The sequence below is a fragment of the Homo sapiens genome, chromosome 4 (genome assembly GCF_000001405.40).
Source record: "Homo sapiens chromosome 4, GRCh38.p14 Primary Assembly".
Classification (NCBI taxonomy): Eukaryota; Metazoa; Chordata; class Mammalia; order Primates; family Hominidae; genus Homo; species Homo sapiens.
Window position 1 is genome coordinate 90,600,010 of NC_000004.12, and position 26,598 is coordinate 90,626,607.

The 26,598-nt window shown below is 34.6% G+C and overlaps 1 protein-coding gene across 35 annotated transcripts in view, besides 1 other annotated feature; it reads left to right on the top strand.

The window, feature by feature from the left end:
* CCSER1 (coiled-coil serine rich protein 1) overlaps window positions 1-26,598 on the top strand; it is a 1,477,902-nt gene that overhangs the window by 472,616 nt on the left and 978,688 nt on the right. The window lies entirely within an intron of this gene.
* Window positions 4,097-5,296: an enhancer, noted in NCBI's record as "BRD4-independent group 4 enhancer chr4:91525257-91526456 (GRCh37/hg19 assembly coordinates)". NCBI's record gives its function as "activates an origin of replication core promoter dependent on BRD2, P300/CBP, MED14 and CDK7 cofactors, and independent of BRD4, by STARR-seq in HCT116 cells {active_cell/tissue: HCT116}" and the evidence as "EXISTENCE:reporter gene assay evidence [ECO:0000049][PMID:35650434]".

Genomic DNA, 26,598 nt, shown 5'->3' on the forward strand with positions numbered 1-26,598 from the left:
TTTTGATGTTCTTATGTACTGCAGTGTGTATCAGTAGGCTATTTATTCTAATTGTGGAGTAGTATTCTATTGTATAGATAACACACACTGTATCCATTGACCTGCTAATGGATATTTGGATTGTTTACAGTTTGAGGTTACTGAAAATAAGGCTTCTATGAACATGAGTGTAAATAGGGACGTAGGTATTTATTTCTCTTGAGTAAATACTTAGGACTGAAATGATATGGTCAGGACAGGTTTAAATATTTAGGAGACTTCCAAACTGTTTTCAAACAGGTTGTAGTATTTCACATTTCTACCAGGAGCATATGAGATTTCCTACCCAAAACTTGGTACAGTCAGACTTTTTAGTTTTAGCCTTTTAGATTTGTGTGTAGTCATTTTTCTTTGTGGTTTTAATTTGCATTTCCCTATTGTTGAGCATCTTTTTCTGAGCTTATTTGCTATCTGTATATCTTCTTTAATGAAGTATCTTTTCATATCTTTTTCCTATTTGAAAAATATGTGTTAATTGAGATTTTAGAACTCTCTCTATATTTTGGATACATGTCAATTATTAGATATATGCTGTGAAAGATTTTCTTCCAGACTCTGGCTAATCATTTTATTCTCTGAATGGTGTCTTGAAATTAAGTAGCACTAGTCCTTCAAATCTATGATTTTTTTTCAAAGACATCTAGCTACTTTATGTCCTTTAAATTTTTTTTAAATTTTAGAATCAATTGATCAATGTCTCTCAAAAATCCTGCTAGGATTTTGATTGAAATACATGTAATTATAGATGAATTTGAGAAAAATTTTTATCTTGGCAATATTTAGTCTTAGTGTCCATGAACATAATATATCTGTTTAGGTCTTTATATAAGCAATATTTTTTAGTTTTCTTTCATATTTCTGTCAGATTTCTATGTATTTTGTATTTTTGATTTTATTGTTAGTGATATTATTTTATTTCAAATCTATTTTTTTCATTGCTAATGTATTGAATACAATGGAGTTTTGAATATTGATCTTGTACAAACTCGTTAAATAACTTATTAGTTCTAGTAATTTCAGATTTTCTAACACAATCATGTCATTTGCAAATAAATACAGTTTTATTTCTTTCTTTCTGAACTAGATTATTTTTATGTTTTATTCTTGCCTTATTTCATAGGCTAGAGTCTTCAGTACAATGTTGAGCAGCAGTGGAAACAGCAGACATCCCTGTTTTTTTCTTTAATCTTCAGGTGAAGCATTTAGTCTTTCACTATTAAGTATGCTGTTAGCTCTGTGTATGTATGTGTGTGTGTGTGTGTTTAATATATATTTAGATATCCTTTATCAGGTTGTAAATTTCCTTTCTGTTTCTATTTTGTTGAAAGTTTTTATCAGGAATGAATATTGGAAAAAAAGGCAAGTACATTTTCTTCACTTTTCTCTCCCTCCCCTCCGTGCCTCTTTCCCAACTAAAAGTTTATCAATTTGATTAATCCTCTCTGAGAGGCAACCAAATGAAGCCAAAAGTTACATTTACTTTCTTTACTTGTATGCTATTTTATTTAGTTCCATTCTCATCTATGCTATTTCTCACATTAGGTTTCATTTGCTCTTTTTGTTTACAGGTTCTTCAGCTGAAAGCTGGATGGCTTTTTTTTTTTTGAGACCTTATTTTTTATTTATCTCTAATATGGGTGTTTAGTGCTCCAACTTTCTCCCTAAGTATTGCTTTCACAGCATCCAACAAATTGTATATGCTGTATATTATTTTAATTTGGTATAAAATACTTTTTATGTTCTACTTTTATTTTTATTTGACCCTTGAATTATTTTATAATGTTATTTTTTCCCAGCAGTTGGAGATTATTCAGGGATTTTTCTATCACTAATCTTTATTTTAATTTTATTTGGTCAGAGAACCTACTTTGTATGACTTGAATTCTTTTAAATGTAGTAAGATTTGTTTTTTGGTCCTGAATATGATCTCTCAGTAAATGGTCTCTGTGAACTTTAGAGGAATGTATTGAACTGTTTTTGGATGGAGTGGTCTATAAATTTCTGGTAGGTGTTGTTCTAGTCTTCTACATTCTTATAGAATTTATGTCTACTTGTTCAACCAGCATTGTGAGGTAGTTTTGGAAGCTCTGACTATAATGGGGCATTTTCAGTCTATCAGTTTTGCTTCATGTATTTTGAAGCTCTGTTATTAGCTGCAAAGCACATTTAAGATTTTTCTGTTCCTTTGAACTAACAACCCCCTTTTTCAATATGGAATAAATTTCTTTATACCTGGTAATATTCCTTGAATGTATTTTGGCTATTATTAATATAACCTCCTCTTTTTATGTAGTTAATGTTTGTATTATATATCACCTTTCATTATTTTATTTTTAATCTATGACTTTATATTTGCATTTCTCTATAGGCAATATATAGTTAGGTCTTTCGGCTTGATCAGATTTGACAAATGAGACATTGTGCCTTCAAGATGGGCTGTCTCATTCACCCAATATCCATCTTAGTATATTTATTAATTTTAATGTGTGCATGGTATTCTGTTATATTATCAACTGGCCAAGTAGTTTCTAAGCAACAAGCAACTGCCAGGCTACATTTCCACATTTTCATGGATTTGACCAATAAAGAATAAGCCCAAGTGGATTTAGACAGTTTATTACCCATGACAAAGCAAACAATATGATCTTCATGTTCACATTTCTACCCCTGCTTACCCTCCGCAAGTCTCATGGGGACAATATAGAAGAGTGCAGGTGAATACTATGCACATAGGATTATTTATCACTGAGAAGGAACAAGTGTAATCTTATAAGGAGACTGATAACAAACCTTCCCAACCTTTGCTACACAGGGGAATTTCTCCTTTATTACCCCGATCAGGAAACAAATCTGTCCTCTCTCCTAGAGGTAGACACTACCTTTGTTATTCCGAAGTGCTTCTAGGGAGGAGAGAGAGACTTTAGCCTTAGTACCATGGAAAGTAAGCAGATCTGTTCCTTGACCTGGAGAAGCTTTGACAAAGCTGTCAATGCCCTTTCTTCAGAGGTTGTGTAGAAATGTCAGACTTACAGGGAATTTTCTCCCAACATATTTAGAAGTATCGGTTACTTCTTTCAGAAAAAATGAAGCTACTCAGTATTTTAAGGAAAAGTTTAGTAGAAGAAAATAGAAGCGTATGCAGTGGCTGGAGGAGTAGGGCTAGCAAATGTTAGGCCCATTATTTGCTATCAGGTTATCTGGACGTGCAGACAGAGCCAGGTAAGCTGATGCTGCAGATCTGTACTGCTGGTGGCATAAAAGTGTTTAATTATCAGGAGGATGCCTGAAAGCTATTGGGAAAACTCCAGGTCTTCAGCCTGCTGTCTGCCAATGCCCTTGTGCCTGTCCTCAGCCCTGCCAGAGAATAATGGCTTTTCTTACTCTTCCACATCCCAAATCTCATTCAAGTGATATTTATTGGCACAATCTAGTGGCATTCTGGAATTTGGGTAGGATACCTCTCAAGCTCTTCCCTTGTATTTTAGGAAAGTATATAGATGAAGGAGAGTGATGTTGAAATTGAAAACAATCTGTGGAAGCCTTTATTAATGTAATTCTAACATCTTTTCTCTTACCACAATACTTTAGTAAATAACCTTGTACATCTCCCTTTTGGCACATGTGGGAGGATTTCCACTGGATAGATGCCTAGAAACGTAATGGCTCACAGTGCGTGCCTATCATACATTTTGATAGATGATACCAAATTACTCTCCAAAAGCAGTTGCTTTCCAGGGAGTAACTGTAGGAGAAGGGAGGAGAAAAACCCTGTTTGTAGATGATTTAGAAGCACAAGTTAGTACTCAAGTCTCCTTCATGGACACTGACTCAGTGCCTTTGGGTGGTGACTCTGTGAGGCAATGGGAGGGAAGAAGAAAGTGCAATGACCCCACGATACCTTATTATAAGACCTAACATCTAGCATCAATCTTTGAACCATCGAGAAAGAAAGAAGAAATACAGGATTGAATGTCTTGTCTCAGGTCTTATGCCAGCAGCTTGTACATGGATTTTCCAATTTAATTGTCAATGTAAGTCTATGAAATATATTATTCTCCCCATCTTTCCTGGTGAACTATTGAGGGGTAGATGCCAAGTAGCTTGTTAGAGATCATGCATTTAACAAATGGTAGGGATAAGATTCAAAACCAGCTGGGAAAAATTACAAAATCTGTATTTTTTTTCTATATCTCACAGAAATCTTCCCTTCTTGGTAAACATCCTTGAGCCTCCTATTATTCTTTTATGGCTAGTTTACTGTCTTCAAGGCTGCCCATGTGTACCGGAGAGAATACAGACTCTGGAGATGTAAAGACTTGAATTTGAATTAAAGGTTGAGTCCCATGTTCACCATTTATTATCTGTGTTACTTTTGAGCAATTCAATTCAGCTCTTTAAATTTAGTCTCAACATCTATAAAACTGCTATAATGAAACATGCTTGGCAAGTTTGTTGTGAGCATTAGAGATAATATATGCAATGTGCTTAGCATATTGTTACAGCATTAATTATGTATACTTATGTATACATTGCAGGCGAGCTGCCCGCTTCCGGGATCCACTAGGCAAAGCCAGCTGGGCTCCTGAGTCAGGTGGGGTCTTGGAGAACTTTTATGTCTAGCTAAAGGTTTGTAAATGCACCAATCAGCACTTCGTGTCTAGCTCAAGGTTTGTAAATGCGCCAATCAGTGCTGTGTGTCTAGCTCATCTAGTGGGGACTTGGAGAACTTTTATGTCTAGCTGGAGGATTGTAAATGCACCAGTCAGCACTGTGTGTCCAGCTCAAGGTTTGTAAACACACCAATCAGCACCCTGTCAAAATGGGCCAATCAGCTCTCTGTAAAGTGGGCCAATCAGCTCTCTGTAAAATGGACCAATCAGCAGGATGTGGATGGGGTCAGATAAGGGAATAAAAGCAGGCTGCCCCAGCCAGCAGCGGCAACTGAGTGAGCTCCGCTTCCACGTGTGGGAGGTTTGTTCTTTGGCTGTTGGCAGTAAATGTTGCTGCTGCTGACTCTTTGGGTTTGAGCCGCCTTTATGAGCTGTAATGTTCACCATGATGGTCTGCAGCTTCTCTCTTGAAGCCAGCTAGACCACGAACCCCCCAGAAGGAAGAAACTCCCGATACGTTGGAACATTAGAAGTAACAAACTCCGGACATAGCATCTTTAAGAACGGTAACAGTCACCACGAGGGTCTGCAGCTTCATTCTTGAAGTCAGCCAGACCAAGAAACCACCAATTGTGGACACATCGGGATTGGCACATGTTGAATGCTGTGAGACTAGATGCCAAAGTATGCATGTGTTGTGAATTATGTTTACAAGATGTTATAAATATGGGCCGATAAAGTTGATATTTATAATTCCTTAAAGTCACGTATTAAATCTGATATATTTTATCTCTTCACAAGTCAAAATAAACTTAGAAAGTTTTGAGAAACAAAAATATAGACTAGAATATTATATGCATGTAAGACTGTACAAATCCAGTCTAAAATGTAATTAATGTATCATTGTTTCCTCCTTGGGAAAATTATCCAGTAGTACTCCAACATTATGTCTTTTTCTGTCTAGTCCTAATGCAGAGGAGACAGGAAATCAGAAACAGCTTAAAACCCTTGGTGATGTACTAGTGACAGTTGAATTAGAATAAAATATGTGTCTTTTGACTGCTTGCTAAAAATGTAAATGATTTTTTATAATTTTTTTTGACTTCTTAGTGCCAGTGTGTTTACATTGACCAAATATTTTGGTGAAAGTTTTGTATATTTTTTTTCAAAATGTTAAGACAATAAAAATATTTGAGTTCAACAATGTATTCTTAGAAATATATTTCTAGTTTTATAGTGCTTAAGTTTATTAGAATATGACAATAACATATGCCAAATCAATGCTTAAATTGATACTTTTTATAATTTTCTTGATCTTGAGAAGTCTTAAAAAGAGGTACTATATTTTTCATTATAATATATAAAGATACCTATTGATTATAATTTCATTTGGCTTAGGAATTTCCCTTTGAAAGAAAGTATCATTTTGGATGAATGTAGAATGTATTTAAAAATTTTAAACACCGAAGAGATAAGTTTATACACTTGGACTCTGTTATTAATAAGTTATGGCCATTATCTCTTCCTTGCCATGGGGAGAGTCCTAGTTGTTATTATACTGTCATGTGTCACTTAAAGATGCAGATACAGTCTGAAAAATATGTCATTAGGCTGTTTCATCATTGTGCAAACAGAGTGTACTTACACAAACCTAGATGATATAGACTACTACACACCTACATTATAACGCAGTTGTAATACAATGGTAAAATATTTGTGTACCTAAACATCCCTAGACATAGAAAAGATAATGCATTGTGCCAAGACATTAATGTTAGCTATGACATCACGAGGCAGCTCGTTTATAATCTTATGGGATCATTGTTGTATATGCGGTCCATTATTGACCAAAATGTCATTACATGGTACAGTCCCACACTTGACGTGATATAGAGTTCATATGTCACTTTTTCATTGTTACTGATTTTGATCAACCAAGTTTTAAATATGTACTGTGAAAAATTTATTTTCACCTTTATTTTGAAGTACTGTGCATCATTTCATAGCAAATCTATGGCATGGATATGCAGGAAAAAGTGGATAAAATTATATTTTGACAACTTCCTAAATTATTATGTCTCTCAGAGATAATAATGATCAGTGGTATATATACTGTTCTACTCTGAGATAGCCCAGGGGCATCCCAAACTATGAGGGTTTCTGTGACACTCATACAGATAAACTAGGTCCATAATGTATAAATATTAATGTTGGCATTCACACTGAGGCTGGGCTTTTGCATTTCCACACCAAATAGTTATCTTTTAAAAACATAACATTACAGATACATTTTGGCCTGAAGGTATTTTCATAAGTTCCCTATTTATATGTTGTTGATGAAATTAAGGATTCCAGTAAATCATAATAATCATTGCTAGTGGAGGAGAACACAGTAAGATTAATTCCAATTTTGTGGGGAAGAAATATTTTACATATGGTTTTAGTTATGTATTTAGTTATGGATGACTCTGATGTTCTGAAAATGTATTGCATTTTAACCAAAAGCGTCAGAATATAATACATTAGTTAGTACCTCAGTATTTGAAAGGCAGTGAAAACCGTTGGCTGTTTTTAGACATTTGTGTATATTTTGATATATATGTCAATATTTAATAGAATAAATCTTATGTGTTAAAATGTTCTCATTCCTGAACACACTAAATATAAAAACTTTAAGGAAGGAGCATTTATTAGTTTGCTAAGGCTGCCATACCAAATTATCACAAACTGGGTGGCTTAAACCAATAGAAATTTATTGTCTCACAGTTTTAGAGGCTATAAGTCTCATATCAAGATATTGACAGAGCTGGTTCCTTCTGAGGGCTGCCTCTCCCCTAGTTCTTGTGGTTTTCTGGCAATCTTTGGCTTTCCTTGGCTCATAGAAGCATCACCCTGATTTCCGCCTTAATTTTCACATGGTGTTCTCCCTGTGTTTTGTGTTTATCCAAATTTTCCCTTTCTGTAATACCAGTTATGTTCGAATAGGGGCCCATCGTTCTCTGTGTTGACCTTATCTTAACTGATTACATCTGCAATGACTCTTTTCCCAAATAAGGTCACATTCTGAAGTTTTAGGAGCTAGGACTTCAAAATATAAATTTTGGGGAGACACAATTCAACCCATACAGAGGGTAATGGATACTTATAACTACCTTCTTAAACATGGATCTTGAAATTCAACTTGCCTTTTCCCTTCCTCTCAACTAAATTTTTTTTCAAAACCTGAATTTGAAAGAAAGACTCCACTTAACCGTTTTTAAATTTTAAGGCAGAAATAACACATAAGCATACTGGAGTAAAAGTGTGTATTCTATATCCTGTGTGCACTCCACAACTATATTTAGTAATGTTGACTCCTCACATTTCCTAAGTTCTTTTAAAACTGTACAAAATATTTATTTTTACATTGCTTTCTGAAAGCTGATATGTTATTTAGGGATCTTAATAAATAAGAACAAGGCTAGATTAATTCAAAGAAATTTAAGGTATTTAGATTAAGGTTTACACTTTCTGTGGATAAGGAGTTTGAGCAGGGATTAGTTGGGTCCTCTATTAGGGTCCCACAAGGCTACAGTAGTGGTGTTGGCCAGGCCACGGTGTTATCTGAGGTTCGTCACCCAAACTCATGTGATCATTGACAGAATTCATTTCCTGGTATCTGCAGAACTCATGGAGGCTTCAATTTCAAGCTCAAAAGGACCATACCTTTCTGATGCTTTACCTTCTCCTAAAGGGTCCTCTGATTGGGGACTGGGTCAGAATAAGTTATTTCTAAAAGATTATTAACTCAAAGACAACCAATTATCAAGCTAAGCACACGATATCCCATTAAATTCACAGTTTCTGTCCACAGCTCAAAGGGAGGAGAATATACAAGGCATATACACCAGGGAGTGGAATCTTAGAGGCCCTCTTAGAATTCTGCCTCTTATAGTAACAAATATATACATTATCATTAAGAGGTAGATAACTAATAGATACTATTAATAAAAATGATTCATGCATAATGTAAAATTACACAAATATTAATGTTTCCATTAAACTCCTAATATGTATAATATTCTGATCTAGAAAATAATATATTCTCACTTCTTATTTTGCCTTTCCAATTTATTTCTTCTTATTTTATTTCATTTGATTCCTGATTGTCCTGCTTCTGTAGAAAGGTTTCAAATGTGGCCATTCTATGTAGTCTATTGTTTAGAATTTTTAATCTGTTTTATAATAAAGAAAATACCTTGCTTTTTAGGCTTATTTCTCTATACATAAATCTTCACCTTATGATTTTGTTGATTTTTTCTCTATGGGATTCTCTCCCCATTTCAGCTCATTTGTTCTGATAGCATCATATTAAAATGCAGTTCTTGCATCAAATAGTACCGCCTCCAAGATAGAATCCTGGATTCCTGTAGTTATCTATAATAACTGTATTTTAGTATGTTTACTGCAATTGACCATAATAGAAGTGTGATTAATTTTATTCATATTTTTATATATTTATACTTAGACGTTTGTTTCCATTGCATCCCTTACTAGATAATAAAAATGTTGTGAATAGAAATCAGACATAGTGTGATCATGTCATTTTCTTCAGGCTTAGTAAGAGTTAAATTGTTTCACTTTTCACTGTAGTTGATATTAATTGGTTTATATATTTGTTTTGTGAGTTAACGCATATAATTAGGCCAAGTTAAAAGGAATCATATGTCAGTTGTATTCATATTTAAATATGCTGTGAAATTTTCTAGCCTGTCAGAAAAAGATTATACCAGTATTACTATATCAATAATACACAAAAAAGTCTATATAGTTTTCCTTTTGATAGAACAAAACTTATTCTGAAAGAATAAATAAAATGTTCAATCTAAAGATATTATCCCAACCTTCAAACTTCAGTGGGAATACATGACACAACTATTTTAGAAGGAAAACTATAGAGCATTGTATCAGTATGTGGTATCTTATATGCCTTATAGCACACAAATGTTACCCAATTGAGATATTCATTAGGCATTAGATACCTGTCTCTAAATCTAGCTATCATAGAGATGTTTCGCATGGAGGGACACTCAGAAAACATTTATGAATAAGAGTAGATTCGGCTACTGAATTTAGATAAATGCAACCCAGTTGGATGTGTACTTTAGTAATCAGTGGCATATTAGAGTCATTGACCTTAAAATACTGAACTCATGTTTTAAATTATTTTACTCCTTACTTGGGTGACATAGGATTCATATTGATTACTGTAATTTGGATTACAGAAGAAAAAGTGCTATTTATTCACATAGAATATCAATTTTAAAATGTGAGGCCAGGCGCGGTGGCTCATGCCTGTAATCCCAGCACTTTGGGAGGCCAAGGCCGGTGGATCACGAGGTCAGGAGATTTGAGACCATCCTGGCTAACACGGTGAAACCCCGTCTCCACTAAAAATACAAAAAATTAGCCGGGCGTGGTGGCGGGCACCTGTAGTCCCAGCTACTCGGGAGGCTGAGGCAGGAGAATGGTGTGAACCCAGGAGGCGGAGCTTGCAGTGAGCCAAGATTGCGCCACTGCACTCCAGACTGGGCGACAGAACAAGACTCCATCTCAAATAAATAAATAAATAAATAAATAAATAAATAAATAAATAAATAAATAAAATGTGATTTCAGTAAGCTGTAATTACAAAAGATCGCAAGGAATCTGCCATTCTGAGTCAAAAATTTTACTGCCCTTCTCGAGTCATGCCCAATCTTCTTGTCTTAAACATGTGAGAAGAATATTTGTGAACAACTATCAGCTACTACTTCATGGTGATTGCTTAAACGTATTCATACACGTATAAATAGATACATATGATATAAATATTTTAGCTCTTTTTGCTTTCTAAGGCTGACATCTGACAGTGAGGCCATTGATCTTCAGTTGCTAGAAAAGAAAAATTTTAGGCTAGTCTACCACTTGAGTGATTTGCTTTTAAAACTATGAGAATACATAGAAGTCAAATCAATAATTAAGCAGTACAACAATAAACTTCATGTTAGTATTATGATGAACATCATATTTTTATGTGAAAAGCTACACACATAACAATGAAGGCAAATATTATCAAATTTATTAATATGCATTGAATAGCGCTAGAGTGTACAGAAGGCAGATCGACCTTTATCTCATTACATTAATGAGATGAGAAAAATTTGAAACTCAGAAGATTGCCATCAGTTGATATTCTTTTTTTGTTGTTGTTTCTTTGAGACCAAGTTTTGCTCTTGTTGCCCAGGCTGGAGTGCAATAGCGTGATCTTGGCTCACTGCAACCTCCCCTTCCAGGTTCAAGCAATTCTCCTGCCTCAGCCTCCTGAGTAGCTGGGTTTACAGGCGCCCGCCACCATGCCTGGCTAATTTTCTTTTCTTTTCTTTTTTTTTTTTTTTTTTTTGTAGAGATAGAGTTTTACCATGTTGATCAGGCTGGTCTCGAACTCCTGACCTCAGGTGATCCACTCGCCTCAGCCTCCCAAATTGCTGGAATTACAGGCGTGAGCCACCGCGCCCAGCCCAGTTCATATTCTTAACAAGCAAATGAAAAAAGCTGTCAAATGACAAAATTACTGAAAAAAATGAAGCTCTGTTGCCTTTATTTAATGATTGGGCTATTTGGTTGCAAACACTTTATTCTACTCTCTTTCTTGTGATATATGACTGCTAACATGTAAATTCAGTAGATCTTTTTAGTATGTGAACCAGAGGTTGAAGGCACAGTGCTTTAGTCCTTTGAAGCCTTGATATCCTTATAAGATCAGTTGGATTTATTCAAATCTCAGTTGGTTGCTTTGAGAGAATAAAATGATCCCAGGGGTAGAAGATATCCATTTGCTAATGTCTAGGCTACCTGGTATTTAAAAACTGAAACACATTTTTTTTTTTCTAAAATGTAAGTTCTTATATGATTGGTATATTTTATTTTTGTGTGTATTAATTAATAAGCCAAACCTCTTAAGGATATTTCTATAATACCATTTCATATGAAGAAAGTTATTTCCTGTTCATTCACTAAATACATATATGGATGAACAGGATATAATATATAATTATATATATTATATATTTAAAATAATACTTTAATATATGTAGAAACAGGCTTTATATATATTATATATTTAAAATTATATATACAGCTTATTTCTGTTATCCTCAAAATAAAACCACTCACGTGGCATGAAAAGGAGTCTTAATATCTTAAAGGGAGATATACTTGGCCTCTTAAATATGATTAGCACATTTATTATAGAAACTTTCTCACAGATATCAGATACTCAAATTTTTCCTGACTTTTTACACTCTTTCTTAATATATCTCTTTTATTTACCTTATTTTCACTTTGATTTTCTTTTAAATGATAGCTGTAGACATGCCAATAACAAATATTTTAATTGCGTGTTCAATAAAATGTAATTTAAAATTGCTGAGTTTATTTACAAATAAAATACCTTAAGACTTAAAACAACAACAAAAAAATAAACTATTTAGTTCCACATGAAGTTTTTGTTTATCTCAAGGTAAAATTTTAGTTTATAGAAAAGTTTTAGAGAGAAACTATTGGGAACATTGGTGGAATACTAAAAAGATCATTATTATTTTTTAATGGTGGAAAGCATAATCTAAATTTCTTGTTGATAATTCAGTAGGACAGGGTATTTGGAGAACGGGGTATATTTCATCACTTAAAAGACAAGATAATCACAGAAAGCAGCCATCAGTTTTAGCCTTTCTCATGAACAAAGACAGAAAATGAGTAAACATTAATGTGTTGGAACTACCAATGAAAAGAAACTTAGGCAGTATAAGATAAACTTATTAGATTTATGACATATGCAACTCCATTTTTAAAGCAGAGAAATTCCACATTAAAACAAAATTCTTATAATTTTCTGTTGCTTCCCTCCAAGCCACTTCATTCTCCCTAGTGTAAAAAGGTCAGTCTTAGAATAGCTTATGTATTTTTGCTTCCAAATGCAACAGAAACTTGTAGACAGAATATATGGCTCCCTATATAGTAGTATTTGAGAAACCAAATACCATAAAAAGGCTATCTTTTGCAGACATAATCCCCTTAATGTTTGTGTGTGGAGTTATTCCTTTTGGATAATACGTACTCTGTTAAAATAAAATGTTATACCAGTCTCTTATCAGACACCAGCATATTAGCTGGATTAATTACCTAAGAAGGGTCAGAGTGGTGAGGGCCAGGGCATAGCATTGGTGTATTTTGACAGGGAAGTTAAAAAAAGTCACTGGCCTCTGACTTAGAATTAAATGAAATACAGCAACCCAATAATGAATTCTGAGTATCCAGGGAACAATAATACTCTAAAGCAAACTCAGAGATCACAAAGGGGCATGACAGGAATACACCCAACGGTACACAGGCACTGGAAGAACCTTGTACTACATTTATACTTTAGTCTTAGGTGTGCCCAAAAGTATAACATACAGTTCTTTGATACAAGTCCCAGAAACCTACTTTTGCTCACTTCATGAAAAAAAGAAAAAAAACTGGTTATTGGAAGGATATGAAGAGGCACACAGAAATGAAAAGCTAAACAGCACTCAAGTCAGGCAAAAGATGGGAATCTTAGAGAACTGAGATAGAAGCAGGGCTAGCCTCATAATTGAAGGGTCCAGTGCAAAATGAAAATGTAGTACTACTTGTTCAGAAATCACTGAAAATTTCAAGATGGTGACAGAAGAATATATTACCAAATGTAGTATCCTTTCAAGAGGTGGGCATCTCACAAGTTCATGAATCTGACCATGGGTGGCAGGAATTAATGGATAAGCTCCATAGTATAAATCAGCTACTATGGTTTTCTGTCTTCGTCCTTTGTTGCTACTAAAGATTCACACTTCTGGGAACCATAATCTAGGGATTTAGAATGGTGAATTCTTTCCAGAAGGTTTTCAGTTTACTTTGCCTAAATTCATCAGAAGAATCACTATCTATGGCAGCTATAGCCACAGGGGAAGAGAGCATGGGACCCTGTTTAGCAAGACTGCATGCAATCATGGAGAAGAGTAAGGAGTTTCTCGAAGGAACATAAAGGAACTGTTAACAAAGGACGTGATTTCTTCCTGTGCAGGAAAAAACAAACAGACATTCACATGGAAATAAAAAAATAAAAATCCTTTCTTACACTCCTGTGACCAGCTTCTAAGAAGTTGGCTCTAAGAACATGAATAGTTTATTTAACAGTGCTCCTGTAACATCTCCATTGGATCACAGATACTCAGGTTTAAATACTGGCATATCTCATTTTATTGCACCTTGCTTTACACAGTGCTTCCCACATACTACATTTTTTACAAATTGAAGGTTTTTGGTAATCGTCTGTCAAGCAAGTCCATCGGTGCTAGTTTTCCAACAACCTGTGCTCACTGTGTCTCTGTGCCACAATTTGGTATTCACACAAGATTTCAAACTTTTTCATTATTATATTAGTTATGGTGATCTATGATCAGCAATCTTTGATGTTACTATTGTAATTGTTTTGAGGTGCCATGGACTGTGCCCATATAGAAATCAAACTCAGTGGATAAATGTGTGTGTTCTGACTGGCTATTCCCCTATATCTCTCCCTGTCCTCAGGCCTCCCTATTCCCTAAGACACAACAATATTGAAATTAGATCAATTCTACAATGCCCTGTAGATGTTCAAGTGAAGAGTCACATTTCTCTAAATTTACGTGAAAAGCTGTAAATGATTAAGCTTGGTGAGCAAAACATGTCAAAAGCTAGGCATCTTTTGACAAACAGCCACGTTGTGGATGCAAAGGAAAAGTTCTTGAAAGATATTAAAAGTGCTACTTCAGTGAGCACAGGAATTATAAGAAAATAAAACAGCCTTGTTGCTGATATGGAGAAAGTTTTAGTGGTCTGGATAAATCAAATCAGTCATTACAGTCCCTTATGCCAAAGCCTAATCCAGAGAAAAGCCCTAACTCTCTTTGATTTTATGAAGGCTGAGAGAGGTGAAAAAGCTGCTGAAGAAAAGCTGGAAACTAGCAGGGGTTGGTTCATGAGATTTAAGGAGAGAAGCTATCTCCATAAAATAAAAGTGTAAGGTAAAGCAGCAAGCACTAATGTAGAAGCACAGAAAGTTATCCAGAAAATCTCACTGAGACCATTGATGAAGGTGGCTACACTGGCAAACAGATTTTCAAGGTAGACAAAACAGACAGAAGATGCCATCTGGGACTTTCATAGCTAGAGAGAAGTCAATGCCTGACTTCAAAGCTTCCAAGGACAGGCTGACTCTCTTGATAGGGACTAAAGCAGCTCTTGACTTTAAGTTGAAGCCAAGTTTTATTTCCCATTCTGAAAATTGTAGGGCCCTTAAGAATTATGTCTGTGCTCAATTAATGAAGCAACGAAGCATAGATGACAACACATCTGATTACAACATGGAACACTGAATATTTTAAGCCCACTGTTGAAACCTACTGCTCAGAAAAAAACAAGATTTCTTTAAAAATATTACTGGTCATTGACAATGCACCTGGTCAACCAAGCATTCTGATGGAGAGGTATGAGGAGATTAAAGTTGTTTTCATGCCGTCTAACAGAACATCCATTCTGTAGCTCATGGATCGTTGAGGAATTTTGATGCTCAAGTCTTCATATTTAAGAAATACACGTTGTAAGGCTAGAGTTGCCAGAGAGAGTGGTTCTTCTGTTTGATCTGGGTAAAATACATTAAAAATCTTCTGGAAAGAACCATTCTAGATACCATTAAGAACATTTGTAATTCATGGGAGGAGGACAAAATATCAACATCAACACAAATTTGGAAGAAGTTGATTCCAGCCCTCATGGATGACTTCAAGGGGTTCAAGACTACAAAGACCAGTGTAGGAAGTAACTTCAGATGTGGTGGAAACACCAAGAGAACTAGAATTAGAAGTGGACCCTGAATATGTAACTGAATTGCTGTAATCCCATAACGGTTGCTTCTTGTAGATGAGCACAGAAAGTGTTGTTTTTTTTTTTTCTTTTTTTGAGATAGATTCTACTCTTAGTGAATATGCTGTGAATATTGTTGAAATTACAACAAAAAATTTAGAATATTACCTAAACTTAGTGGATAAAGCTGGGGCAGGGTTTGAGAGGATTGATACGAAGTTTGAAAGAAGTTTAACTCTGGGTAAAATGCTACCAAATGGAATTGCATGCTACAGAGAAATCTTTTGTGAAAGGGAGTGACTAGATGCAGCAAACTTCATTGTTGCCCTATTTCAGGAAATTGCCACAGCCACTCCACCCTTCAGCAACCACCACCCTGATCAGTCAGCAGTCATAAATATGGAGGTAAGACCTCTCACTAGCAAAAGATTAGGACTCATTGAAAGCTCAGGTGATTGTTAGAATTTTTTAGCAATAAATTATTTTTAAATTAAGGCGTGTACATTGTTTTTTAGACATAATGCTATTGCACGCTTAATAAAATACAGTATAGTATACACAAACTTTTATATGTGCTAGGAAAGCAAAAAAATTGTGTGACTTCCTTTATTGAAATATTTGCTTATTGCAGTGGCATGGAACCTAACCCATGATATCTCTGAGGTATGCCTGTATACCAAAATTATTAATTTCAATGATTCTAGGAAACTTTTTTTTAATAAAGTAGTTTTTGGTTAAAATTTCCAGTATGTTACACTCTTCTAACAAACTGTCGAAGAATAAGAGAAAAAATGTTTTAGACTGGGTGTAGTGGCTCACACCTGTAATCCTAGCACTTTGAAAGGCCAAGGTGGGAGGATCACTTGATGTCAGGGGAGTTCAAGACCAGCCTGGCCAACAGAGTGAAACTCCATCTCTACCAAAAATATAAAAAAATTAGTCGGGTGTGGTAGCACACGCCTCTAATCCCAGATACTTGGGAGGCTGAGTCAGGAGAATTGCTTGAACCTGGGAGGCGGAGGTTGCAGTGAGCCAAGAACAGGCCACTGAACTCCAGCCTGGGCCACAGAGTGTGGCTCTGTCTCACACACACACACACACACACACACACACACACACACACACACACACACACACACAAATAAAATAAAATAAAAGGGAGAGAGAGAAAAAATGTTTTAGGTTAAATACAAATAAAAGAGCTTATAGGAATTACTCTGAGGTGAAACTAGCTTATATCCTCTAATCAGTATGTATTCATGGCTTTTAGAGTTTGGCTTAAGAAGCTTATCGAGGATTTCGCCAAGTGGCTGTCTCTGAAGGGAGTGGAAATGTTAGGACTCACACTCTGGAGCCAGACTCTGGGTTTAAAGTTCTGTTTTGCTGTGTGTATCCTGTTCAGTCTCTACACCTAGGAAAATGTTAATATAAGAATTGATTATTAAAATATCTCTAAAGGTGACATAATTTAAAATACAATTATTACACATAAAACAATTTATTCTTTTCAGAACAGTTTATTCTTTTCAGACATATGTTTCATATGTATGAAACAATACATATAAAACAACGTAGTACGATTATTTGGTGGAGGTATGTCTTAGGAATGGAACTTGATTTTATTGGGGGGAATTATTTTTTTTTCTGTTATCCTTTCTAAATGGGCAGTTATCTCTGAAGAGGAAAGAGCAAAATGGAGCTTTTATTCTCTCACCTCTTCTTTGGTTGTATTAAGAAGAGGGCTGAGTTTTTATTCTCATCTCTGTTTCAAAGACAATTCAATGTTGATACCAATCTGTGTTTCTGCTGCTTGTGTAAAAGAAAAACCATCCTATGCCACCAGCAACCACTGTTATCTGGTTTTAAATGTCAAGTATACTTCAGCATAGAAATAAAGAAACTGAGATAACAGTCAAAGAAAAATATATTGAAGCACAAAGATAAGAGTCCAACCATCTTAGTGTCTGTGTCTTTGAGAAAGGAGTTAGGAAAAGATTCATCAACAGAAACCTAAAACATTTTGCAGCTTCTAACTTATCTAACCTTATGATTTATAGCCATGTATCATGTTTATACATATGATTGTAGTATTTGTCTATGTTGGTGCTATACTGATGAATAATGGAAAGTAATTCAGCTACTTTAAACTGAATCGTTTAAATTAGTTCAGCGATGACATTCTGTCTTCATGTTATCCCTTCTGAGGTCTAGCCTGAGATTTTCTTACTAATCTCAAGGATTTTTTTGTTTGTTCCTTGCAACAGATGTTCATACTTTGACAGTTCTATTGTATATAATTATGTATAAACCATATTATGTTTTTCATTCCTTATTTGAAAGTAATCTAGATGATTTTTGTGTGTGTGGCTGTGAGTGGGTATGTCAAGGCATTTTGGAATCCTTGACTTGGTGTAATATGGAAAATCTGTTTCTAGTTGAAATTGAATACATATATCACAAGTCCTTTTGTTACTTTTAGAATGGAATGTATGAAATCTGATTGGGAAGATTAATGTAGGTTTTATTAATCTTTCTCAAATTGATAAAGTTCTGTCACCCTAAAGATTTATTCAAAGTTGTAATCTCAAAGTCATAAGCACCAAGTCTTTACCTTTGAAAAGTATTGGAAGCTTTAGTTTCCTAGCCACTATGGATTATGCCAATACTTTTAGGTATTACCTTTATGCCAAATTACAGGACAACAATTTTCTTTTTAGAAACATTATTTTCTAGACTATAATTTTTTGGCTAACACTTATAGCTCTTAGATTGCCACATCTTGAATATTATAACACAAATTATCAGAAGCAAATATACATACAGTAATATTTTTAATAATGTTTTTCATAAATCATATCTAAATTCCCATTTTGTGCATTCTTCAAATGGCTATAAAAATTTTGCATACTAGCTCTTAAAGCAATAATATTAGGTTCTAACTATTTTATGTGATAATGAAATAGGCTCGATTTTATTTTAGTAGTTTGGTCCTGTAAGATTAATCAAATTTATTACATGATATGGATGTGAAGTAAGCAAGGCACTGGTATTTTTGTGGCTCATTATTCTGATATTAAAGGGAAGGGAAGAAGGTAGGTAACAAGTGGCATTTAAAATAAATGTATTTTCATAATAAATGATGATTCTCATCTTATTCTGTTACACTGCAAGTATAAAACTCTTATTGTTGATAAGAAGTTCATAATAAGTAAATCACTTTAGACCTGGAGTTTGTGACTTAAAAAAAGCCTTTATTTCAAAAAGCAAAAATAAAATGAATAATGAATTATCTTATATATTTCTTCCACTAAACATATTTCAAATGAAATATAGTATGTAAGTTAAAAAGCCAAAAATACTTAACCCATAACTGTAAGATCTACATTATAGGTAACTACAAAATAAAAATACTCATTATCTATAATATATTTATAAAATGTTGTTTTCAACCAAATGTTAAATAGAATATTTAATATAGTAAAAATTATTTCCCTTTTTAGAGGTTTTTCATCTTTATAAATGTATTTGACAGTAAATATAGTAAAAACTACAATGGAACTGAACTTCTAGCAAATTTTGAAAGCTCTTCAGTATCATCGTGAAATAATTATTCCTCAGATGAGATTTTGTTAAACTCATTACTCTTCTTCTGTAATTTAAAATTTCCCAAATAAAATTACTCTTCCATATAGTGGTGAATGAGAGGGTGGGAAAATATTCCTGATCCCCGCAAGAGAAAAATGTGCAGTTTGGAAAATGTATAAAATAAAAGTGTTCCAACACAGCAGATGATTTATGTTGTTTATATGATGAATTGCATGAAGGGCTAAGGAGAAATAATTTTAGATTAAAAAAAATTTGTTTGATACCTCTTAGACATAGGAAGACCCGCCAACCTGTGATATTTTGTAAGTTACGAACAACTTCTATAAATATTAGGGGGCAGTAAATAAGAGTTTGATTTATTTCCATCTATATGAAATGTCTTTGATGATTTTGTGCTCTCAACTTTCTGTCAGTTTTAGTGCTCTGGGAAAGAAACCCAATGTATTATTACTTCAATAATAGCATGATTACAGGCATACAATACCTCCAATTAAATAATTAATTAGAAAATGAGAAATATGTATGTGTGTGTAAACAGATTTGGTGTGTATCTTTATGTGTATAGAATTTTTAAACAATAATTTGGATTTTTTTTGTTCAACCTGATTGTACTTTCATCTCTACATTCATTAATTCTGATTCTTTTCATAAGTGAAATGCTCCTTAACCTGGATCTCAAGTCACATGTGAATATGAAAGTAGAAAATGGGAGAGAAAAATACTCATGACATTAATGGCATGGAGAAAAGGTACTGAACATACACAGTCACGTCAACCTTCTCTTTTTAAGACTAAGCCAGAACTTGCGGAGTTTGTATGATCAGTTTTATGCTCATAGGATACTTTCTCTAAAATTTTGGACAAAGTTAAAAATAAGCACCAAAATAGGTGTAAAAATAAAATTAATAAAATTTTGGACAAGGAAACTAATTTTAGTGAATAGTGGGAGTCGTTACTATTTAATCTAATTCCCTAAGACTGTAACTTAATAATATTTCACTATTCTAGCTTCAGTGAAAATAGAATAGATAAATACAAGTGTATTTAAAAATGTAACCCTATTAAGAGATGATACAATATGGTAAAAGAACACTGGACTAGAAGTCAGGAAACCAGAATTTCACAGTCTCTGTGTGACAGTTAGAAAATTAATTTAGGCTTGAGCTTTCCTATATATTAAATGGAGATATTATACATGATGGACTATTATTCTTTTTCTATACTAAATTTGATTAGTCTATTTATATGAGTATTACATAGAATTGTGCAAGGTTTTGTGGATACATTGATGAACAAGAAACACAAGTACTGTCCCTGTTACCTCCTTGAATCATCGTAGTTTCAAATATAGAAATAAATAGTTACACAGTTAATTATGATATTTCACCCTTACTTCTAGATTTAATGTCTTTCTTACTGGAATATATCCTTTAGCCATTATCCCAGTTAGAATGCCTTCCCCTTCAAGTAAAAGACAAACCTAACACAAAGATTATTAAACAGTAAAAACAAAAAACCCAAAAACATAATCTTGTCTAACAAGAAGAGGTAGGGAATCCCCAAGTTGGTTAGTTACAAGAAACAATGACCTCTTTTCTTTTCTTTCTTTCTTTTATTTTTTTTAAACGGAGTCTCACACACTCTGTTGCCCAGGCTGGAGTGCAGTGGCGCGATCTCAGCTCACTGCAACCTCCACCTCCTGGGTTCAAGCCATTCTCCTGCCTCAGCCTCCTGAGTATCTGACATTATGGTCGTGCATCAACACTGCTGGCTAATTTTGTATTTTTATTTTTAGTAGGGAGGGGGTTTCACCATGTTGTCCAGGCTGGTCTTGAACGTCTGACCTCAAGTGATCTGCCCACCTCGGCCTCCGAAACTGTCAAGAGTACAGGTGTGAGCCACCCTGCCCGGCCACCAGTGTTTTTTACAGCTGACTCTCCTCTCTTTTGTGGGATACACCAATCATTCCAGGCAATATATCAAGACAAAACAACATCCAAAGGAAAATAGCTATAATTTTTCTGTGTTTTTTTTCTTTTTTGCCAGGGAGGAAATGTTTTCCTGAAGCCCTCCTACCTCACTCTTTGTCTTATTTATCTGAGTCATAGGAGAACCAGCCTTTAAACAAATTAAGAAGTTTTGTTTTTGAAAGAAGCAGGAAGGAGGTATAAAATGAATAGTGGGTAGGCAGCCAACAATGTCTGCACATAATATTTTTTTCCTTTCAGAAATGTTATCAATTGGTTTCCAAGTTTCTGGGTTTTTTTTTTTTCATCTTTATAATGTCCTTTTCTCTGCTGAGACTTGCCATTTGTTTTTTTGTTATTACCATTTTTAATAGACCTTGAACATATTTATAATGCTGATTAAAATTCTTGTCAGCTAATTTCAATATATGGGTCATCTCATTTTTAGTGTCTGTCTGTAAATTGTTTTTCTGCTTCTTTGCATGCCTACTTATTGGAATATTTGACACACATGAATGGATGACATGTTTTTCAGAGTCTGTATTTTATTGTCTTCCTTTAGAGAAAGTATAGAATTATTCCAGCAGGTAGTTAATTTACTAGTAGGATCAAGTGAATTTTTGAGCCTTTTTAAAGTTTGGAACTCTATGTCTATCAGCACTACGAGTCTCCTTTGTCTGTGGCAGATCTTCTCCTTTATCTGCATAGGCGTAAAAATTGCTGCAGCCTCTGTTTTTAGAAACCTCATGCAAGTTCAATACCCTGACACTACCACAGTGGCAATTTGTATAATTATTTCTATTTTGCTTTCTTTCATATGGCACCTGGAAGTTCATCTGGCTTTTCCTTTTGTACTGTAATATGTTTTAAAATAAATGTGGTTGTAAGTTATTTAGCATTTCTTTGTATTTGGAACATGAGGTGGAGTGTAGATCAGCTCATTCAAATGTGTTCTTAGAGGTCCCCTCAAATTAGTTTTTTAAAATGCATCTGTGATAAGCATTAAAAATGAAGTCTTACCATATAAAAGAGGTACCTGTGTATTTTTTAAGAGTGGGGTACTAGCTGCAGAGGTTTCTCTGGCGACCTGATGTTTGTTTGTTTGTTTTAGTTATACTTTAAGTTCTAGGGTACATGTGCACAACGTGCAGGTTTGTTACATATGTATACATGTGCCATGTTGGTGTGCTGCACCCATTAACTCCTTATTTACATTAGGTATATCTCCTAATACTATCCCTTCCCCTGCCCCAACCCCTCGACAGGCCCCGGTGCGTGATGTTCCCTTTCCTGTGTCCAAGTGTTCTCATTATTCAATTCCCACCTATGAGTGAGAACATGCGGTGTTTGTTTTTTTGTCCTTGCGATAGTTTGCTGAAAATGATGGTTTCCAGCTTCATCCATGTCACTACAAAGGACATGAACTGTCCTTTGTATGGCTGCATAGTATTCCATGGTGTATATGTGCCACATTTTCTTAATCCAGTCTATCGTTGATGGACATTTGGGTTGGTTCCAAGTCTTTGCTATTGTGAATAGTGCCACAATAAACATACGTGTGCATGTGTCTTTATAGCAGCATGATTTATAATCCTTTGGGTATATACCCAGTAATGGGATGGCTGGGTCAAATGGTATTTCTAGTTCTAGATCCTTGAGGAATTGCCACACTGTCTTCCACAATGGTTGAACTAGTTTACAGTCCCACCAACAGTGTAAAAGTGTCCCTATTTCTCCACATCCTCTCCAGCACCTGTTGTTTCCTGACTTTTTAATGATCACCATTCTAACTGGTGTGAGATGGTATTTTGCTGATGTTTTATAAGGGAAGATCTGAAGATGGGTAAAGGATTTTTTTTTTTTTTTTTTTTTTGAGACGGAGCCTCCCTCTTTCGCCCAGGCCAGAGTGCAGTGGCGCAATCTCGGCTTACTGCAAGCTTCGCCCCCCAGGTTCACGCCATTCTCCTGCCTCAGCCTCCAGAGTAGCTGGGACTACAGGCACCCGCCACCACTCCCGGCTAATTATTTTTTTTTTGTATTTTTAGTAGAGACAGGGTTTCAGCGTGTTAACCTGGATGGTCTCGATCTCCTGACCTCATGATCCCCCAACCTCGGCCTCCCAAAGTGCTGGGATTACAGGCGTGAGCCACTGTGCCCGGCCAGGATGGCAGGATTTTTTTTTTATGGAGATAGAACATCATATGCAAAGGCCCTGAGGCAGGATGGAACTTGGCACATTTCAGCGCCTGAATGAAGGCCAATGTGTTTGGAACTCAAAGAGCAAAGAGGCAGCTGTTAAGAGATGAGGTTTTGTGAGAGAGACAGTTTCTAGACCATGAAACAACCTTGTTGGCTATGTTAAGATATTTGAATTCTATCTTGCTTTTCCCCATATCACAGGTAGTGGTGAAATAACTTGTCACATGTAGATTTTTATCTAAATGTAAATTTTATCTAAATGTACTGTTAAGTTCTTATAACCACTACACTTACTATAGAGGGAAATGCTGATTGCATCTCTTCTGGAAATACGATGAAACATTCAGTTACAGAATAATTTGAGATACAAGTGTTTTCCTAAAATAACACTCTCAGACAGACAATATATTTGGAAAGGAAAAATGAAAAATATAAGTTATTCATAATCAACAGCCTTTTTGTAGGTAGGTCCTTAAACAGATAGTTTCTGTTAGGTTCTGGGAATGCTAGTTCATTAATATAGATTTATGTCATTGTGCTGGTCTTAGAATTATTCAAGCTAGGATTAAACTCACCGTAAATAACCTGAACCTTTTTAAAATGAAGTTGAAACAACAGTAAGTATCCTAAGCTAAGGTTTTTAAAAGTTATTATTTTCTGCAGCTCTACTTAATGAAGCTTTGGAAGGCAGTTGTGTGCATATGCTTATTTATTATGCCAGGTAAATAGGGGTTACTTACTTTTCTGTTCTTTGGAAATTTGGTTCAGAAATCACAGTTACATTATAAAGTGTAAATCATTGAGATGCTTTTGGCCATAGACATTCCCTATAATGAAAGATGTCATTGCACTAAATAAGGAAAGGTTCCTATGACAGATAATGGGATCAATGCTATGCAACTGACATGATCTTGTATTTTGATAGTCATTTGGGCCATTTTATTAAGAAGTTTTCAAATGATTTGAAGAGCACTTGTGGGCAGAGGAAATTCTAACTACCCAATGATACTACTTAGTTATAGCTAAGTGAGAAAAAAAATCATAAAAATATTCTTACTTTCTCTCTCAGGTAAGGAAAACCTTTCAGTTTCCCTGTAGTTTGTGTCAAGATATATGTTTTCCCATTAAACTTGTCTGCCATACTGACGAGAGAATTACAGCAGAACTTTTGAACTAGTTTGATAAGAAATTCCTTTCACACAAAGGATCCCAGGGAGAAAAGTGCAAAGCCAGTTCACCATCGTAGTTTAACTTAAATGTGTTAAGTATCAGTTGAAAGTCTCAAATCCTCTACTCATTCGAAAATCCACTTAATATAACATTTATGGGATTTGCTATTAATCTTATCCAAAACCTGTGTTATTTTGGTACTTATGGACTTAGAAAAGTCTGTATGTCTCAAACTTTAAATGTTACTAAATCTTAAATTATAAAAACTTGGTTAGCACTCATAAGCAACGAGGCATGTGTAAATATTACTAACAATTTCACTGAAGATTCATGAAGTTGACACAGAGAGGATGAACTGTATATAAATGTGTTCAGCGGAGATTACATTGTCTTTGTTTTTTGTTTGGAGTAGTTATGGTGATTAATGAACCACTGTATCCAGCTTCAGTATCATACTCTTTCTTTTTTTGCCAAGTTAAAGGACTATCTTTGGTGATATAAAGCACATTTGTTCAATTTCTTGAAACTATAATAATTCAGAGTTGGCAGACAGAGTTATATATCCCCAAGTGAACGAATTGTATTATCCAGTGAACCCTGCTAAATGCAAGAACAGAAGAGCACCTGAATCTTTTTCTCCCCTCACCAGCCTTAATATGTTGTCTGTGCTAGAGGAAAATATGGCTTCGTATTAGAGATTTTTCTTCATTTTCTTGTCAACCACAAGGATAATTTTAGGTGAATTTACCCAGAGACACTTGGGTATTTTTCTGCCCAATAATGGCTATTGATCAAAACATTAATATTCAATACATTGAACAACTGTAAACCATGGGCACCAACCAATCAGAAAGACAATGGCAATCAGCATAAAACAGGATGGCTGTGCCGGCCTTTGCAGCTGAGTGGCAACCCCATTTAACAGATCTTTCACTAACTGTTTCAACCTAATTAAGAATGGTTTTGATTACCATAGCCTTGTAGCAGATCTATTTTTTCATGTAGAGATAAAATGTTTTGAGATAAATTGATTTGTTTCTCATATGTGAAAGAATATTAGTTTTTTTTGGTATCAACTACTAAAAAGTTAATAATTGTGGTGAACCTCTTAAAGTCAGTGACAGAATCCTATTAATCTCTGCAACTTCAGCCATCACTGCTCTGCTGGACACAATGTGGATGTTTTCAATAATTTTGGAAAAAAATGCCATCATCTTTTCCTTTTGGGATTAAAAATATATTCAAATTATTGAAGTATGAAAAAATGACTAATTTTATTTTCAAAATGCATTTCTGTACATGGCTCATCTTAGCTATTTGAAAATGGCAAAGATATTCAAATTTGTGAATGTTAAATTATAATCTCCAGAGCCTCAGTAAATTCCCTGAAATACAGTGTTAGAACTTCACACGAATATGATTCCTGAAAGTTGTGTCAGTCCTCATGGGTGTTTAGATCCATGACTGACCAAATAATTTTAAAGAGCCAGCACGCTAACTAACAGGAATTATAGAAATATAATTTAAATTTTATTGTAATTGTGGCAGGAAACTTAGAGCCATGGACAGGAGCCCCGCAATTCATAACAATTCACAATACAGAAAAATTTTTCTGTATGAGTTGTATGCGTCGATGATTACAACAAATTGTGTTTTATTTATTCACCCATTATTGTATTTATCTATTCAATTTCAATTATACAACTATTTACTGAGTCAGCCTAATATATGCCAAATAGCAGGCAAGTTCACAACTTAAAAATGATACACTTCAAAAATTCGATTATAACTAAAGTACTACTCTAATTTAATATATACCTACCGTGACTTCTAATTTTTATACTTGATTTTATTCTTATTGGTCTTAGAGAAAATAGCCATAGAAAGCATTAACACTAAACGGAAGGCTTTAAGAATGACTGTATAGTTCGTTGCAATTAGACATAATATAATTAAATTGAATCAATCGTATCAGATAAAATATACACTTTAAAGTGAAAATGTTAATGATTCTTAGTATAACTGTAAGTATACTGTTTTGTTCATTTGCATGCTTGTTTTCCACA